This window comes from Homo sapiens, chromosome 1 (assembly GCF_000001405.40).
Source record: "Homo sapiens chromosome 1, GRCh38.p14 Primary Assembly".
In the NCBI taxonomy this organism is placed as follows: Eukaryota; Metazoa; Chordata; class Mammalia; order Primates; family Hominidae; genus Homo; species Homo sapiens.
Window position 1 is genome coordinate 99,871,964 of NC_000001.11, and position 19,015 is coordinate 99,890,978.

Here is a 19,015-nt window from a genome sequence, read left to right on the forward strand (position 1 = left end):
ATTCTATATATGGTAAGTACATAAATTTTATATTTATTTTTATTTTTTACACATGCAAATAAGAACATAAATTGTCAACAACTTGTTCTTTTAGTTGACAATATGAATTTATTATAGCTAATTATTTCTTTTAACCTCTGTATAGCAATATGCTATTTTTAAAGTACTTGAATTTATTTAGCCTTTTTGATAGGTTGTTTCCAGTTTTTTCATTTTTCATTCATTCATTCAATGCATATTCATTGAACCACCTACTACTGTGTGCTAGACATGAGGATTCAGTGGTAAACAGAACAAAGTCCTTTCCCTGGATAAACTTCCAGTCTCATAAGCTGTACTGCAGAAAATACATCCCCGTACACCTTATGTTTACTTGCTTATGTGAGTCAATCTGAAGGATACATTGTTAAACATGGAATTATTGAGTCAAAGGGTATACAGATTTCAAATATAATAAATTTATTTTCACAGCAAGTTATACCAACTTAATATTATCACTAACATTAGATATCATTAACCTTTATCATGTTTGTCAATTAGGCAAAACATACCTTATTTTAATTTACATTTCTTTTTTTTTTTTTGAGACTGAGTCTCACTCTGTCACCAGGCTAGAGTGCAGTGGTGTGATCTTGGCTCACTGCAACCTCTGCCTCCCAGGTTCAAGTGATTCTCCTGCCTCAGCCTCCCAAGTAGCTGAAACTACATGCATGCACCACCACACCCAGCTAATTTTTGTATTTTTAGTAGAGACGGGGTTTCACCATGTTGGCCAGGATGGTCTCGATCTCTTGACCTCGTGATCTGCCTGCCTCAGCCTCCCAAAGTACTGGGATTACAGGCGTGAGCCACCGCGCCCAGCCTTTTAAGTTACATTTCTTTGCTTATTAATGAAGTATATTTTTACACCTTGATTAGCTATTTATATTTCTTCCATTAATTGCCTGTTAATGTTTCTTCTCATTTTTCTATTGAGTTGTCTCTTTTTTTATATCGACATTATTGATTATTACACAGGCCTCAAATATATCCCCTAGTATGCTCTTGATCTTTTAACTCTTGTTTATGGTGACATTTTTTTTCAATGTAGTCAAACTTTTCAATCTCTGATGGCTTCCAATTTCATATCATGCTTAGAAAAGACCTTCCATCAACATTCTCTTTTCTTCTAATTTGTATTTTTACATTTGAATATTTAATATACCTGAAATTTATTTTTGTGTATTATATAAAGAAGATATTTAACTTGATTTGTATTTTTAAAATTATATTGAGTTGAAAATCCATCCTTTTATACTGATTTGAAGTACCACCATAATACTTCATAGTGTATGGTAATATACAAAATATACATCTGTTATCTGTGCTCTTCCACTGATCCGTCTCTTTTATTCTATCAATACTAAAGATTATTAGTTTATACTGATGGCATAGCTTTTTCTCTTTTTCAAACATTTCTTGGCAGTGTTCTTTTTTTTTTTTTTTTTTGAGACAGAGTTTCACTCTTGTCGCCTAGGCTAAAGTGCAGTGGTGTAATCTCCACTCACCACAACCTCCGCTTCCTGGGTTCAAGCGATTCTCCTGCCTCAGCCTCCCGAGTAGCTGGGATTACAGGCATGTGCCACCACACCCAGCTAATTCTGTATTTTTAGTAGAGATGGAGTTTCTCAATGTTGGTCAGGCTGGTCTCGATCTCTTGACCTCAGGTGATCCACCCACCTCAGCCTCCCAAAATGCTGGGATTACAGGTGCAAGCCACCATGCCCGGCGGCAGTTTTCATATATTTACTCTTCCAGATGAACCTTAGAAACTGGATTTTAAGAATTGATTTGTATTTTATGCTGTTTTGTGAGGCTAACGTGAATAACCACTACACTATGAAACCCATTATTTTGTTTTTTTGTTCGTGTTTTTATAAGTCATTTCAAAGTCTCTTTAGAATAAGCCAGACACAAATTAATTAGTTAATATAAAATCAAGTTCAATGGAGGCAATCCTGTACCAGTTCTTAATTTTATTACAAACAAGTTCCAGAAAAAGAGTGAAAATTTCCCCAAAAACCATTTATTTCCTTTTTAATTTTTAAGTTATTATCTAAGGAATATGGTTGATGAAAAGGGAAAAAAAGTATTAAACCTGTGTGCTTCTTTTAGAGAATTCAAAGAAAGTCAGGTTGTTAATAAGACTTCAGGAAGCAAACTTTGAAAGCAATCTTGAAAAAGAACTCCTGAGGTTAGAATATTTGGTAGCACCGGGGAGGAAAACGGGTTCCACTAAAGTCCTTAAAGTGTTTAAAAAAAAAAAAGGTACATGTATACATGTATAACAAACCTGCAAGTTGTGCACATGTACCCTAGAACTTAAAGTATAATAAAATATATATATAAAAAAATAAAAAAAGAATAGAATAAGTGAATGCTGATGTAGGCAGAAAAGTGGGGGCTGAGATTGAATTGATAGGAATCCTTGTGTCTTTCTTTTATGTTATTTTTGTCTCTGTTTCTTTCTCCCCCACACCCCTCGTGTGTGTTTGCGCGTGCACGCACGTGCACACACGTGCACACAGCAGGATGAGAAGGGGAGGAGGTAGGAGGATACCTGTGAAATAAATATTTGTTTTATTTTCAGTGAAAAAATTATAGGCCAAAAATTAGAAAATAGTGACAGTTATAATCTCTTTGTAGATATTTGCATTTAAGGTATCGTCTTTTCTTTCTTTTAGAAAATAGGCGAGTAACCAAGTCTGATCCAAACCAACACCTTACGATTATTCAAGATCCTGAATACAGACGGTTTGGCTGTACTGTAGATATGAACATTGCACTAACGACTTTCATACCACATGAGTATGTAATGTGTTTTTTTCTGTGAAATAATAATATTACTTACAAACCTTTATGGCTAGTATGATTTTCATACTACTTATTAAAAACGCTTAATAGAAAATGAAATAAAGTAATTCACTGTAATTCTACTATTTCAGCACATGACATTTTCCCACTTTTTCTGTGTGTGGGCCATGTTTCTATATGTGTATATAAACATTTTTACAATTGGAAAACATCATCAGCCATAATTGAAATCCCGATGAATATATTTAAGGTTTCTGTGACCTTTGTTAGAAAGTTTTTAAATGTAGAATCTGTAAAGCCATTAAATATTATATCTGCATTTCTCCATCTGCTCTAGCAAGGGGCCAGCAGCAATTGAAGAATGCTGTAATTGGTTTCATAAAAGAATGGAGGAATTAAATTCAGAGAAGCATCGACTCATTAACTATCATCAGGAACAGGTTTTACTTATTTTTGAACTGCTGCTTTTCCTTGCATCTTACTACTATTTTTTTGTTGTCTTGAGGATGGTGATGATCTAACACAATTTAATGTTTTTCAGGCAGTTAATTGCCTTTTGGGAAATGTGTTTTATGAACGACTGGCTGGCCATGGTCCAAAACTAGGACCTGTCACTAGAAAGCATCCTTTAGTTACCAGGTGTTGCATTTTTGTTTTTTTTCTTATTGATGGTTGAAAACTGAAAATTGTATTTAACTTTTGAAATTAACCTAAATGTTTTCTTTAACATGTGAGTTCAGTACATTTCTTAAATTGAAATAGAAGTTTTGATTTGGACATAGGCTTAATATTAACTAATTTTGTTAGGCAAATATTTTGTTAGAGAAACTGTCATCAGTATAAACCAATTCATAGTTATTATTTAATGTTTCTGGAGGACTGCATACTTAGTAATAAATTCAATATTAATCAAATTAAGCAAGCATCTGGCTCCTTACTTTGTAAGTGACATAAAGCATAGGTTGGGCAACTAGAGTGCAGTAAAAGCCTTTGCATATCTTTACTTAGAGTCTTTTTTAAAAATATCTTTGCAAAGTAACATCAATGCCTCAATTATGTATTTATTTTTTTTCTTTGAGATGGAGTCTTGTTCTGTCACCCAGGCTGGAGTGCAGTGGCACGATCTCAGCTCATTGCAACCTCCGCCTCCAGGGTTCAAGCGATTCTCCTGCCTCAGCCTCCCAAGTAGCCAGGACTACAGAGGTGCACCACCATGCCCAGCTAATTTTTGTAGTTTTAGTAGAGACGGGGTTTCCCCATGTTGGCCAGGCTGGTCTCAAACTCCTGACCTCAGGTAATCCCCCTGCCTCGGCCTCCGAAAGTTCTAGGATTACAGGCATGAGCCACCATGCCCAGCTGCCTCAATGATTTTTTAAAATAATTTTATGAAGTTTTAAAAATTGTTTAAACTGTTAGCCAGATATGCTGTCATGTTAACTCCCTATTTCTCACATCCTGCTAGATTTACTCAAAAAGCCTAATGAAGATTTTTGACCTATATTGAAGTTTTTTTCCTATAAATAGCATCAAACTTATTTTATTCTATTCATTAGAAAAGAAGTTTAGTTTTAATATTGCAAATTTATATTCTCTCCAAGGAGTTTCTTTGTATGGATTTAATATTTAATTATATTTTCATAGGTATTTTACTTTCCCATTTGAAGAGATAGACTTCTCCATGGAAGAATCTATGATTCATCTGCCAAATAAAGCTTGTTTTCTGATGGCACACAATGGATGGGTAATGGGAGATGATCCTCTTCGAAACTTTGCTGAACCGGGTATGTAATTTTTAACTTCTCTGTGGATGGGGAAAGAATAGTTCATGGCAAGGTCAAAATAAAATCTGCTTTACTGATTTTCTTCCCCATTAGTCTATTGGTTTTTAAATATTTCACCATAAAGGTACCAGAGATACATACAATTTGAGAAAGAAAACATGGAGCCAACAAAAAAAGAAGTTCATCTTCTGTCCTCTCCTTTGCCTTCCTACCTTTTATCTTCTCAAACAGAATAACTTTTATGTACTGTTTTCTATATTGTGGGTCTACATAAGCTTTTATTTGGACAAAATATTATTGCATTTTTACAGACAAGTTTGAAACCACTGCTATTACAATTACATTGACATAAGAGATATTTTCACTCATTGGCCAGAGGTATTAAGAATTTCAGTGGCAATTAAACCAGAACCTAATGGTTTTAGGTCCCCCCTCACTCTTAGTGTCTTGTGTTTCTATAGCTATTTCATTACCAGGAAGAATGTTGCAGGAGCCCATTGATATATTTATTTTTTAACATTTCGAAACTAGGAGTCTATATTAGTGACATTAAAATTTATTCAGAAATCTTAATGCTTTTTTTTAAGAGTATAAATTTGGGTGTAAGTATCTCTGCCCTCTTTTTTCTAGCCATTCTAAACGAAATCAAGCCATTCTGCTGTATGCCATGGATCTAATACAACCTGTTGCCGAAAATAAGTAGGAGGGTGGAGATGGAGTTTTAAATGTTTTTGGTAGAACTATGGTTTTAAAAGGCCTATGATATTAACATTTCTGTTTTCCCTTATGATGCGACTTGGGTTTTTGAAATTGAGGACAAATTTTTAGAAGAGACTGTAAGCTAGAGTTTTTTCAGAATAGCTATGAGAAATAAATAATTATTAATTTTTTAAAACATTATCTCATACCACTTTAGATATAATTTAACCAATATATCATTTATGGCAGAAATGATCAAAGCAATTTAAAAACCAGTGTTTCCTTGAAGTAATTGTTTTCATTTTATTTCTTGAACCATTGAAAGCAATCTCTTTTCTGAACAGGTTCAGAAGTTTACCTAAGGAGAGAACTTATTTGCTGGGGAGACAGTGTTAAATTACGCTATGGGAATAAACCAGAGGACTGTCCTTATCTCTGGGCACACATGAAAAAATACACTGAAATAACTGCAACTTATTTCCAGGGAGTACGTCTTGATAACTGCCACTCAACACCTCTTCACGTAGCTGAGGTACAGAAAAACAATTTATCTACATTAAGAAAAGAAATTCAGTGTTCCTTCCTAGCTTTCCTTAAGTAAACTATGCAGGTAAATGTTTCCTTTTGCTAGTTGGACACAAGCATTGATTTGGTGGTAGTATTTATCACTATTGCATAATTAGCATAATTCTAACAATCTTTTGCAGTTGTTATGGAATACTGGGCTATAAAATATTTAACTAGCTAATTTTAAAATTTTAATTTAGGGAAGTTGATCACGTTTCTGATAATATGGAGTGCAATCATATTGGCTACTGTGAATACATAAAATGTTAATTTTTGTTATTTTTAGGTTGCTTTCAATATATTTTAGAAGTGACTGTGAAGGTGAATAGCTTATTACACATTATAGTGGTGTGTGCCTATAGTCCCAGCTACTCGGGCGGCTGAGGCAGGAGAATCACTTGAACCCAGGAGGTGGAGGTTGCAGTGAGCCGAGATCACACCACTGCACTCCAGCCTGGCGACAGAGTGAGACTCTGTCTAAAAAATAAATTAATTAATTAAATTAAATAAAAAATAAACATTAACATTATAGCATATTGAAGCCAGTCTAGCCTCATCGATTTAATTTTTATTATTTATAAAAATTATAAGTGTAAACATAAACATTGTCTATTTCTCTTTGAGCTCTTTACAATAACTTCTGAACAATGCCAATACTTATAGTATTAACTTCTATCTAATACAATCTTTGTAATTAAACTCATAATTTTCATCCTGCTTATAAGTTTTTTTTGTTATTTTTAGAAACCCTACAGTGGCACTGCTTATAAGATTTTTGATACCTTACTAGTGACCAGTGTCACTTAGGTGTTCTTTGGAAATGTGTGCTTACCTAAAAAATGTCTATTTCTATAATATTAAAGCAGTATTATAATATATATTTCAAGTCCTATGATGAAAAATTGATTTGATTTGGAGGGATTTAGTGAATATTAGTTAAGCTGGTAGAACATTGTTTAGTTCCAAAAAATGACGGCTTTATTTTATTGTGCTTTTAGCAATAGCAAAAAGAAATATGCTTCTAAGATTGTTACATGGCAGAAAAGAATGTTCAAACTTAATTTACTTAATTTTAAATTACAAAATCTAGGATTCTACTTGTTAGCTAATAGAGTTTCAAGTATTTTATTAATCTTTGTGCAAATGTTGTGTTTAACAGTTTGGAACCAATCTGATTTTTTATTATAAACCAGTGTTTATAATAAACAGCTAGATAGATAGCACCAGTGTTAAACGTAAATCACACAAGTGGAAATTGTAAGGTGTAAGAGTTTTTAAGAGTTATTTATCATCATCTGTAGGAGAAACTGGCTTCAGTCTGGTCAGACAAATCTAATCTTTCCAACAGCTAAGTAATTCACCAGCAGGGAATTTATGAATAATTATTTAGTCAACCACCTGGAAATTAAGTCTGATTAAAGTTTTAAAAATAAGCAAGCAGGCCCAGGCACGGTGGCTCACGCCTGTAATCCCAACACTTTTAGGCTCAGGCAGGCAGATCAGCTGAGGTTGGGAGTTTGCAACCAGCCTGACCAACATGGAGAAACCCCATCTCTACTAAAAATACAAAATTAGCTGGGTGTGGTGGTGCGTGCCTGTAATCCCAGCTACTCGGGAGGCTGAGGCTGGAGAATTTCTTGAACCTGGGAGGCGGAGGTTGTGGTGAGCTCACATCATGTCATTGCACTCCAGCCTGGGCAACAAGAGCGAAACTTGGTCTCAATAAATAAATAAATAAATAAATAAGCAAACAAAAAACAGGGAGAAAACCTAACAGAATTGTAGTGTTATGATTTACATTTAGTAATATGAAACTAACATTTTTCTTCTTCTTTTCCTCTCTCATGTCTCAATATCTTTGCAAAATCTAATCTTCCTTTTTAACCGTTTTCTTCTCTTGATAAATTCTCTTGTTTCTATGTGTTTTGGTATGTTTGATATCTTGCTGCATATTTTTCTATGTCAAATCATGCCTCCTTTTGTCTCTTTCCTTCCTCCTATCTTGCTTTTCTCTTTCTGTTACATTTATTTGTTACATTTGTCACTGTGCTTTTTACAGTACATGTTGGATGCTGCTAGGAATTTGCAACCCAATTTATATGTAGTAGCTGAACTGTTCACAGGAAGTGAAGATCTGGACAATGTCTTTGTTACTAGACTGGGCATTAGTTCCTTAATAAGAGGTAGGCTTGTTGGAGTGTATTTCCCTCTAAAACTTTAGCTTTTGTTTAAGTAGATTAAAGGATTTAATAGCTTCATATGCAATGCTTAATAATTTTTTAACACAGTTAATGTTCTTCTAAATACTTTGTATGACATATTCTAATATAACTCAGTCTATTTTTATCAGTATAAATTTCTACTTTGGGGTAAGATACCTCATTTCAAATTGAAAGACCAGTAGGATGAACTGAAGACTCACTAACAAAACCATTTTTTGTTGTTGAAAATATGCAAACCTGTTTTTCATCTTCTACTGGGAGATATGATGTAATGTTTAGATGTTTTATAATCAATTTTGTATAGCTTACATCCCAGTAAACAACATATGTTCCCTTTTCCTTACATGAGCCATTTCTCCAGTTAAGTTATGGGGAAAACTTTTTTGTCACTTAAACTAGTAGACATTTGTTTAAATCCTTAAAGCAGTTTTATTTTTTATAATATTGATGTGGTCTTTATTTTGAAAATCATTTATGAGAAGAAATCTAACCTCTTCCTGGACATAAATAATGAAGATTGTTAAAATATTCTGTAATGCTCTGCAGAGGCAATGAGTGCATATAATAGTCATGAAGAGGGCAGATTAGTTTACCGATATGGAGGAGAACCTGTTGGATCCTTTGTTCAGCCCTGTTTGAGGCCTTTAATGCCAGCTATTGCACATGCCCTGTTTATGGATATTACGCATGATAATGAGTGTCCTATTGTGGTAAGCACCTAATCTTTTTCATGTACTTATTTTGCTAAATGCTTTGATATTTAACTCTCTGACACTTGGTCACAATCATACCCATATACTTCAAAATAGTGTCTTAGATTTATAACTGATTTATAATACATAGTTTTCAGAATGTTTTACTTGTTTAAAAGCAAATTAATTTACCTTATGAATTTATTTATGTAATTATCCTTTTACTTCATTATGCTATAGAATAGCACTTTGCATTTGAAAGAAAGCAAACTTTTGCTTTGTTGTTGTTGTCTTCTAGCATAGATCAGCGTATGATGCTCTTCCAAGTACTACAATTGTTTCTATGGCATGTTGTGCTAGTGGAAGTACAAGAGGCTATGATGAATTAGTGCCTCATCAGGTTTGTTTATATGTTGTTTCTTAAAACCTACATGGCCAACAACTTTGGGCATTTTTATTAAAAAAAATTCATTGTAATTAAGATGTATCCATGCTAAATTTTACCTTTGTCCAGATTTCAGTGGTTTCTGAAGAACGGTTTTACACTAAGTGGAATCCTGAAGCATTGCCTTCAAACACAGGTGAAGTTAATTTCCAAAGCGGCATTATTGCAGCCAGGTGTGCTATCAGTAAACTTCATCAGGAGCTTGGAGCCAAGGGTTTTATTCAGGCAAGAAATAATTAAATTTGTTTCTTCAGGTTCAATTTCAGAGTAAGTCTTTCCAGTTTGAGAGCTAATCTAGTTGTTCTTTCTGCTTCTCAGGTGTATGTGGATCAAGTTGATGAAGACATAGTGGCAGTAACAAGACACTCACCTAGCATCCATCAGTCTGTTGTGGCTGTATCTAGAACTGCTTTCAGGAATCCCAAGACTTCATTTTACAGCAAGGAAGTGCCTCAAATGTGCATCCCTGGTAATGCAATCTAAAAATTGTTACTGTATTTGTATTATATTATTATATTAAATTATACTGTAATGTTATGGTTATATATCATGTATATATCATATATATTATAACACAGTGCTACTGTGGACGTACTTGAGAAAAAGAATTTAAACTTTTTGGTAACTTGGCCAGGTATGATGGCTCACACCAGTAATCCCAACACCTCAGGAGGCTGAGGCAGGCAGATCACTTGAGCTCAGGAGTTCAAGACCAGTCTCAGCATTATGGTAACACCCTGTCTCTATCAAAAAAAAAGTACAAAAAATTAGATGGGCATGGTGGCACATGCCTGTAGTCTTGGCTACTCCTGAAGCTGAGGTGGGAGGATCGCTTGAGCCCAGCAGGCAGTGGTTACACTGAGTCCAGATCCCACCACTGCACTCTACTGGGTGATAGAGTGAGACCCTATCTCAAAAAAAAAAAAAAAAAAAGAAAGAAATTTTTGGCAACTTATATTTTTACTGCATGGAACAAAACCTAGACAGAAATACTTTCAAATGTTAACATTTTTTGAGTTGTGAAATATTTTTGTTTATATTTTATTTCCTAATTTGTGTAAAATGAACATTTATTTCTCTTCTAGCAGAACAATATGTATATTTGTGTTAGTGTATATGTATATATGTGTATAAATGTCTTTGTGTGTATATATGCACAAACATACATACAAACATGCGAACTAAAATGGAAAATAATATAACCTTATGTTTAAGGCTTTTCATAATCCATTCTCATCCACCATCCTAGCCCTATGTCAGTCCACTATTTCAGCCAAATAGATATTTTTACTTCTCCCCAAATACTATGCGAATTGTCTGGATCTTTCAAGGTCTAAAGTTGCACCTCCTTTGTTCAGTGATTCTTCTGAACATGTAGCAATTATAGTCTCTATGTATTCCTCTAGCATAGAGAGTCAAAAATTATAAAATACATCCCTGAGATATGTCCTTAATATTACTTGATTTTTTTCTGGATAGGTGTATTTTATTGTCTTACTTACTATTATATGTGGCATATTACAGCATAGCATGCTCCTGTTCATGCAGCAGCTGGCAAAGTTTGTTGATTGATTGACCAAATGAAAATTCCTATAAAAATCATCATATTCTATATTGGTTGCTAGTTGCTGAATATGCATAGTTCCGGTTTTTAAAAATTATCAACCTGAATACCTAAAAGTTTCTTTAATTGTTCACAAATGTATATTCACTATCCTTATCTGATCTTTGCTAATATACGTATTCAGTTTTATAGGACAACAATCACTGTGTACAATATTATCTCAGGTTTTGTTTTGGTCACAGATCATTCTTAAAACATTTCCACTTCAGTCCGCAAAATTGTGATTTTTATTTTGTTAAATGTTCGTACGTTCTGTTATTATGCCCTTTTAAATATTCTATAGTATGTTTAGTAGTGTTACTAAGTGTTAAATATACAGTAAGGATAATTGTTTTTTCTTTTAAACAATTTTCTTAGTGTATATTTACAGAGGTAGAATTTCTAGATCAAAAGGTTCTGTTACCTGTTGCCAGATTAATGACTTAAAGCTTAAGTTATTTAAAGTAAGGTTGAAATTTTATATAATCCATTGACCCTGCAGTTCTATCCCTAGGTATATATCTGGGAAACTTTCATATATTTCCATTTGAAGATATGCACAAGAATATTTATTACAACATTATTTATAATAGAGAAAAATTAGAGACAACCTTAATAGAACAGATATATTTTGGTATATTCATACAGTAGAATATTATTTGGCATTTGAAGTAAATGTGCTGTAGCTGATGCAGCAGTGTGAATGAATCTAAAAAATACATTGTTGACCACTAAAAAGCAAGTTGCAAATATATATAACTTCAATTCATTTTAATAAAACTTGGAAATAGGGAAAATAATATATGTTGTTTAAGGAAACAGGCATGTGTAGTGAAAATGCCAGGGGTAGTGAGCACCAAACTGAATTGAGGTTACCTCTGAAAGTGAAGAATGGGTACACAGAGGCTTTATTGTATTTGTAAAGTTTAAGTGAGGAAGTAGAACTTGGGTTTTTAATTTTTTTTTGTATCCGAAATATTCCAAGTTTTAAAAAAATGTAAGCCTTTCAAGTGATTTGCTTTTCTCTGCTCAAAATTAGGAAGTTGTTCCCTAGAGCTAAGCTATTATTTTGATACGTTTCTACTTCAAAAAAAGCTTTGTTAACTAAGCTGTAATTTTTTTTACAAATGTGAAAATACACCTTGGGTAGAATCATCTACTTTCAGACTTCTAAAAAAAAGTAACTGATAATTTGTTTTCAACTTTAAGTTAAATGATTTGAAACCACTTTAGCCTTCCTAATTTTGGATGATTCCATATGAAATTTTGTTAAAATGTTTTTATGTATTCCTAGGCAAAATTGAAGAAGTAGTTCTTGAAGCTAGAACTATTGAGAGAAACACGAAACCTTATAGGAAGGATGAGAATTCAATCAATGGAACACCAGATATCACAGTAGAAATTAGAGAACATATTCAGGTATTTGGGACTCTCATCTTACTACTGTGTTTAGCATTTTAAGAACATTAGAACTATTTGTTGAATGGATTTTTTTAATGTACTTTTTTTCAAGCTTAATGAAAGTAAAATTGTTAAACAAGCTGGAGTTGCCACAAAAGGGCCCAATGAATATATTCAAGAAATAGAATTTGAAAACTTGTCTCCAGGAAGTGTTATTATATTCAGGTATGTTAATTGAGCTCAAACTGTTGACTTTACTTATATTTAAAATAGTTTGCATATCCTGTTAAATTTGAATAAATTACTCCTAAAAATTAACCACTTTTTAATTAACATTTTCAGAGTTAGTCTTGATCCACATGCACAAGTCGCTGTTGGAATTCTTCGAAATCATCTGACACAATTCAGTCCTCACTTTAAATCTGGCAGCCTAGCTGTTGACAATGCAGATCCTATATTAAAAATTCCTTTTGCTTCGTAAGTATGCCTTGTTTGGTAGAGATTTGCCACCTTAATAAGTAAGTTACCACTAGACTGAATTAAGCAGTTTTAAGGGTCCTCTATATCCTTGCTACTCAAAGTACGGTCCAAGGACCAGCAGTGTCAGCATCACCTGTTGTTAACATTTTACCCTATTGTTTTATAATTTGTGTGTGTACCTGCATGTGTATTCTCTCTATAGATATAGATACACACATGCCTACATGCATACATAACACATGCATGCATCTCTGTATACACACACACACAATTTCTCTGAAGTATTTGAGACTAAGTTGCATACCTCATACCCTTTACCACATCATTTTTTAAAAATGTCAACATATTATTCTACTTTATGGCTTTACCATAATTTATTTAAACAATTTCCATTTTTGGACATCTAGATTGCTTCTAATTGTTCCCTATTATTTATGTCTTTGTACATTCATCTTTACATGAATCCTTAGTTATTCCCTTTCTAGATGTTTCTGCATACTACAGAAGAATATAGGTTTTGAGGTTTAGACCTAGGTTTAACTTTAGCTTCATTACTGTCAGTATGATCTTGGATCTATTGTTTAGAACTTTCATCATCTCAGTCTCCCATCTGGAAAATTTTGTAAGAATTAAATAGGATAACACTTATAAAACACTTAATACAATGCCTGGCACATAGTAAATGCTCATAGTTTGCCATCATTAGTACTAGTATAAATATTTTCAGAAATGGAAGTTTTGGGTTAGACGAGGGGTCCCCAACCTCTGGGCCACAGACTGGTACTGGTCCATGGCCTGTTAGGAACCAGGCCGCACAGCAGGAGGTGAGTGGCAGGTGAGCTTTATCTGTATTTACAGCTGCACCCCATCACTCGCATTACCACCTGAACTCTGCCTCCTGTCAGATCAGTGGCTGCATTAGATTCTCATAGGGACGTGAACCCTATTGTGAACTGTCCCTGCGAGGGATTTAGATTGCATGCTGCCTATGAGAATCTAATGCCTGATGATCTGCCACTGTTTGCCATCACCCCCATATGGGACTGTCTAGTTGCAGGAAAACAAGCTTAGGGGTCCCACTGATTCCACATTATGGTGAGTTGTATAATTATTTCAGTATATATTACAATGTAATAATAGTAGAAATAAAGTACACAATAAATGTAATGCACTTGAATCATCCCAAAACCACGCCCCTCACCCCCAGTCTGTGAAAAAATGTCTTCTGTGAAACCAGTCCCTGGTGCCAAAAAGGACCATTGGGTTAGACTATATCCATATATTTGAGGCTGTTAATACATACTGCCAAATTTTCTCCAGAAAGATTATAATAATTAATACTTTCAGCTCTATCCAAGAGTTTCCATCATTAGCAATACTGAGTATATATTATTATAACGTAGTGTTTAAGGGCATGGAGTATAGAACCAGACTAACTGGATTTGAATTCCATTGCAGACTCTTATTAGCTATAAGAAGTAAGACCTGGCTGAGTGCAGTGGCTCACTCCTATAATCTCAGCACTTTGGTAGGCCAAGGTGGGAGGATTGCTTGAGCCCAGGAGTCCAAGACCAGCCTGGGCAACATAGTGAGACCCTATCTCTACAAAACGTTTTAAAAAAATTAGCTGGAAGTTGTGGCATGCACCTGTGGTCACAGCTGTTCAGGAAGCTGAGGTAACAGCATCAGCATCAGTTGAGCCCAGGAGGTCTAGGCTGCAATGAGCCATGATTGTGCCACTGCTCTCCAGCCTGGGCAACAGAGCAAGACCCTGTCTCTAGAAAAAAAAAAAGAGATCTTTGAGAATTTATAATAGACATAATTATAGCACCTTTCTTACAGATTACTTGAGTAAAACACAATAGTTTTTGACACATAGTGATTGATAAGTGTTAGCTGTTACTAATCAAACTGGTAAATATAAAATAGTTAAAAATAACATCTCATGTAATTTAAATATTAAGCTAAATTATTTTGTTCATTGGCCATTTGTATTTATTTGTTGAAGTGTTGTTTTATGTATTACCCCATTTTGCTATTGTGTTCGGCTTTCTTTGTTGTTTTGTAAGACTTTTTATTGTTAAGGATATTAACTCCTAATTCAAACTATTCTTAATAAAGTAGTTGCATTCTTAACCAAAAAATCTGTGATGAAGCAGCTTTGTGTTTGGATGGACTGCTTGTAAAATGCATGTTCCTCCTCAGACCTGCTCAGATTATTTTGGAGCAAGGCCAAGAAATTTGCAGTTTTATAAGATCCCCAGGTAATTTTTAGGCAAGGAGTCCACTGGCTATTGAAAAATATTGTCCTAGAATGGAGTTGATACTGAGACTTCTGAGTGATTTGACTCAGGCTTGACTCACAAACTAGCTCTGGGGAGGGAGGCTGATATGGAGAGAACAAAGCACAGATGACAATGATTTTCTAAATTGAGCCAGAACTAAATGGGAAAGAAAGATACACATTCAAGAGGATATGTGTTCACATAAAATAGCAGTCATGTAAAATGAAATTACCTGAGCATCTATTATAGAAGCACAAGAAAATACAGTTTCAGCTGTATTCAGGTGTGGTCAGTTATACAGTCTTACTGCTAACCAAACAAAGGGAAATCAAGGCCATGATAGTCTTCCCTCTGACAGTTATCAGGAGGCATCTTAATCTGAGAAAAATCCTGGTTTCTTGAATAAACAAGCTGAGGGGCAGTGCAACCTTAGAGAAGAGAAAGGAAGGGACTTGGAGAGAAATATGAAGGTAGAGAGCATGTGATTTCCTAGGCAATTAACTTTGACTTTTTATTCCTTTAGTCATCCTCTGATAAGTATTTTTAGTATACAATAACTAGCATAAAAAGTTCTTGATGTCTCACTTAGGGGAATATAAAGGAGAGAAATCAGATGAGAACACATAAATAAATGAAGGAAGGAAGGAAAACACTAAGTCCAAACTAGAAAGGTTAAAAAAACAGATTTATAAGATAAAGGATATAGAAGCCAAAATATTTTCCCAGCATACTTCTAATCAATACAATTTGGTACTTGATTATTTGCTTGGTTTGGGAGTAATGTCGCTTCTAATTGAATTTTTTTTCACAATTTGTCCTTTAATAATTACTTAAAATGTATGAGTATAATGTTTATTTGAATGCTGAGTTCCTAAAACATACACTGCTAAGACATTTTATGATTGTAATTCAGATTTTCTTCTTTTGTTTCTATTGACAACAAGCGAAACTTCAATATATGGTTATCTTTATTTTCCAATTCTTAGTCTTGCCTCCAGATTAACTTTGGCTGAGCTAAATCAGATCCTTTACCGATGTGAATCAGAAGAAAAGGAAGATGGTGGAGGGTGCTATGACATACCAAACTGGTCAGCCCTTAAATATGCAGGTCTTCAAGGTAAGCAAATGGAAGGATAGCTGAGCTTTGTGTTTTTCTTTTAGGGTCATCTGGTGTCTTCTTTACAGACATAGATATAGGCTCAGAGTATGCCTACTTGGGTTGCAATTATGGCTCTGCTTCTGCTCATTAATTGACCTTTGGCAAGTAATATAACCTCTTTGTGTGCCAATTTCTGCTTCTATAAAATTTGAATAATATTATCTAATTTAGAAGGTTTTTGTGAGGATTAATGAGATCATTCACATAAAACACTGAAAACAGGATGTAACACAAAGTAATTACCCAGTAAATTTTACCTAGAAATACTAGTTCTATCTCTTTCCTTAAGGTCTGTATAGCTCTTTATGTATACTTGGACCTTGATTAATGTTTCTTGACCTGGTTTATTATATAATAAACAGAATATTCTTGTTTGGGCCCCAAGTGGGATTAGGTTGTAAATATAATCCATTCACCTTTTTTTAAATCTAATTGGAAATATATTTTATTGCATATTTGTTTTATCCTGTAAAGAGAACTTACAGTAAAACATACAGTAGTTGTAAGATGAGTTAAAGGAATTAAGTATTTATCAGTTTTATTCATCTAGTTGGTAATATTTACTTAGATGTTTAAGAAATTTGCTTTATCACACCTGTATTCCTGGTTCATATAGTTTTCACTTATGCCTTTTGTTCAACTCTTTATTTCTTTCTCCATCTAACCTATCTTTAAGGACTAATTTAATTCTTGCATCTTTCATAAAACCTTCTTTAACTATTGCTTTTTACAGTAATTTCTTTGTCCTCCAGACACCATTGCATTTATTTTCTATACCTCTTACTTGGCCCTTGAAATATATTGCCTTATTTTGATAGTTAGTATAATGATTTTTGTGAATCTTTATCATTGTGATTAAGAAACAGGCTTTAAAACCAGATTTCCTGGGTTACATTGACTAGTTTTATAACCTGAAGTAAATGCTCTATGGCTTACTTTTCCCCTGCAAAATGGTACCTACCACAGGGATTATGGTTAGGATTAATGAATTAATACATGTGAACAGCTCATTAGACGACACCTAATTCATACTAAGTAATTGGAAATTGTTAGCCTTAAAACCACACTAAGTAGGCTGCACACTTTCAGAAAGAAGAATTAAGTTTTATCTTTTTTATGCTTCTTGTCTTTTAGCTTTTATACTTTCTGCAAAACCAAGCACGTAAGCGGTTCTCAATAAACTTTTTTGAGACTTTTTGGATTTATGATCTTTTTTTCTAAAATATTCTCATTTTTAATACAAAATGTTTTGTGCTATGAGTAAGAAAGAAGTGTATGTGAGCCAGACATGGTGGCTTCCACCTGTAATCTCATGCTTTGGGAGGCCACAGCAGGAGGATCACTTGAGCCCAAGAGAGGTTTGAGGCTGCAGTGAACTATGATCATGCCAATGCCCTCCAGCCTGGGTGACAGAGTGAGACTGTCTCAAAAAATAAATAAATTTATTTATTTAATTAATTTTTAAAAGATGTATGTATGTTATCAGATTTGAGTAATTATCTACTTCATTTTCACTCTGAGTTGTTAAACTACTTCTAGTTCACTACAAAGACCAAACTTGTGTGTGCTCTTTTTCTAGCCTTTGTCTTTCTTATAGTTAAGTTTGGTTCTTTGCTAATTCTCCTTATCTTTCTAATGAAATGATTCTTCTTATCTTTTCTAAATAGAATTGCCTTTACCTGTTTATTTTTTGCTGCTTTATACCAATCCCTTTTCCCTCTGATTGTTTAATATTTTCAGCAGGCCACATATTTCCAGCAGGCTGCTAATAAGAGCCTCAGATTAAATCAGATTTAACTACTTTGTTGACCTGTCTTTCCCTTAAACAAAATGTATTTCCCTCCTTATAATACGGTATATCTAGTCATGTTGGAATCCAGGAATCCATTTTGGATCTGCTCCTTTCATCCTCAGTATCCAATCAGTCATTATGATTTGTGGATTCTTTTCCATGTTCTGTTGGGTACACCATATCCTTTTTATTACCACAGTTTTCACTCTATTCTAGGACTAAGTCCTATATACAAAACCAACTAACCAATTTTCCAAATCTTGTTACCTCATCTACAAATCATTCCATTCCGTTGGTCATCATCAGATCTGTTTCTAAAACACTGTTTTCCTTATGTCCTTCCATTATTCAACAGTGAGACCAACATTTACCGAGCATTATCTGCTGTCCATGAAAATGCCAGGGCATATGTAGAATATTATTTTATAGTCTTGTTTCCCAACATCTTTATGTTTTAAGCTTTCTTCCCCAGAGAAGATTGTGAGCCCCTTGAGGGAAAGAACTTTATCTTAAATTTATATAGTTTTTAGTTTCTCAAAACATGCTACATACCTAGTAAAATTCATGCAATTCTAAATAGATAAATAAATTTAGTCTAAATGAAGTCAGTGATGCCAATATAATTTTTAAGGTAGCATCATTGAAATAATAAAATCTGGGAAATTCTAATGCTTCTAATTGAAGACTAGAAGGATTAAGAAAAAAAAAATATATATATATATACCTCATTTTGATACTTCACTTAGTTCTAAGTACCTCCTGTTAAATTTTAACAATTCCTTCCAAAGCATGCTTTATTCTTATTATCTCCATAGGTGTTCTTGCTCTTTCTGAAACCAGTTCTATGACTTCCTTAAATCTAGCCTGAATACTGATGAACCCACTACTTTTCAACATGAAAAAATACAGGCTTATTACTTTTCTTTCTTGAGATGCTTTTGGGCAGGGAAGCCATGCCAGTTACCCTTGAATATTATAACATTAAAATCCAAAAGAATAAGACCAGTCCCAGAAGTTATGAATCCTGAAAAGCTCT

At 33.8% G+C, this 19,015-nt stretch overlaps 1 protein-coding gene across 13 annotated transcripts in view; it reads left to right on the forward strand.

Moving 5' to 3' along the window:
- The window catches only part of AGL (amylo-alpha-1,6-glucosidase and 4-alpha-glucanotransferase), a 74,766-nt gene that overhangs the window by 22,706 nt on the left and 33,045 nt on the right, over positions 1-19,015 (forward strand). For 10 of the 13 annotated variants that reach the window (XM_005270557.3, NM_000643.3, NM_000644.3 and 7 more), the window contains 14 exons: positions 2,724-2,847; positions 3,191-3,293; positions 3,395-3,492; positions 4,495-4,634; positions 5,678-5,865; positions 7,960-8,083; positions 8,669-8,832; positions 9,113-9,214; positions 9,329-9,484; positions 9,578-9,728; positions 12,157-12,281; positions 12,376-12,488; positions 12,606-12,740; positions 16,015-16,145. In XM_005270557.3, coding sequence (XP_005270614.1) covers positions 2,724-2,847; positions 3,191-3,293; positions 3,395-3,492; positions 4,495-4,634; positions 5,678-5,865; positions 7,960-8,083; positions 8,669-8,832; positions 9,113-9,214; positions 9,329-9,484; positions 9,578-9,728; positions 12,157-12,281; positions 12,376-12,488; positions 12,606-12,740; positions 16,015-16,145 — 1,854 coding nt within the window. Of the gene's footprint in view, positions 1-2,723; positions 2,848-3,190; positions 3,294-3,394; positions 3,493-4,494; positions 4,635-5,677; positions 5,866-7,959; positions 8,084-8,668; positions 8,833-9,112; positions 9,215-9,328; positions 9,485-9,577; positions 9,729-12,156; positions 12,282-12,375; positions 12,489-12,605; positions 12,741-16,014; positions 16,146-19,015 lie in introns of those variants that run through there. The other 3 variants (NM_001425329.1, NM_001425327.1, XM_017000501.3) reach the window with 3 other exon arrangements.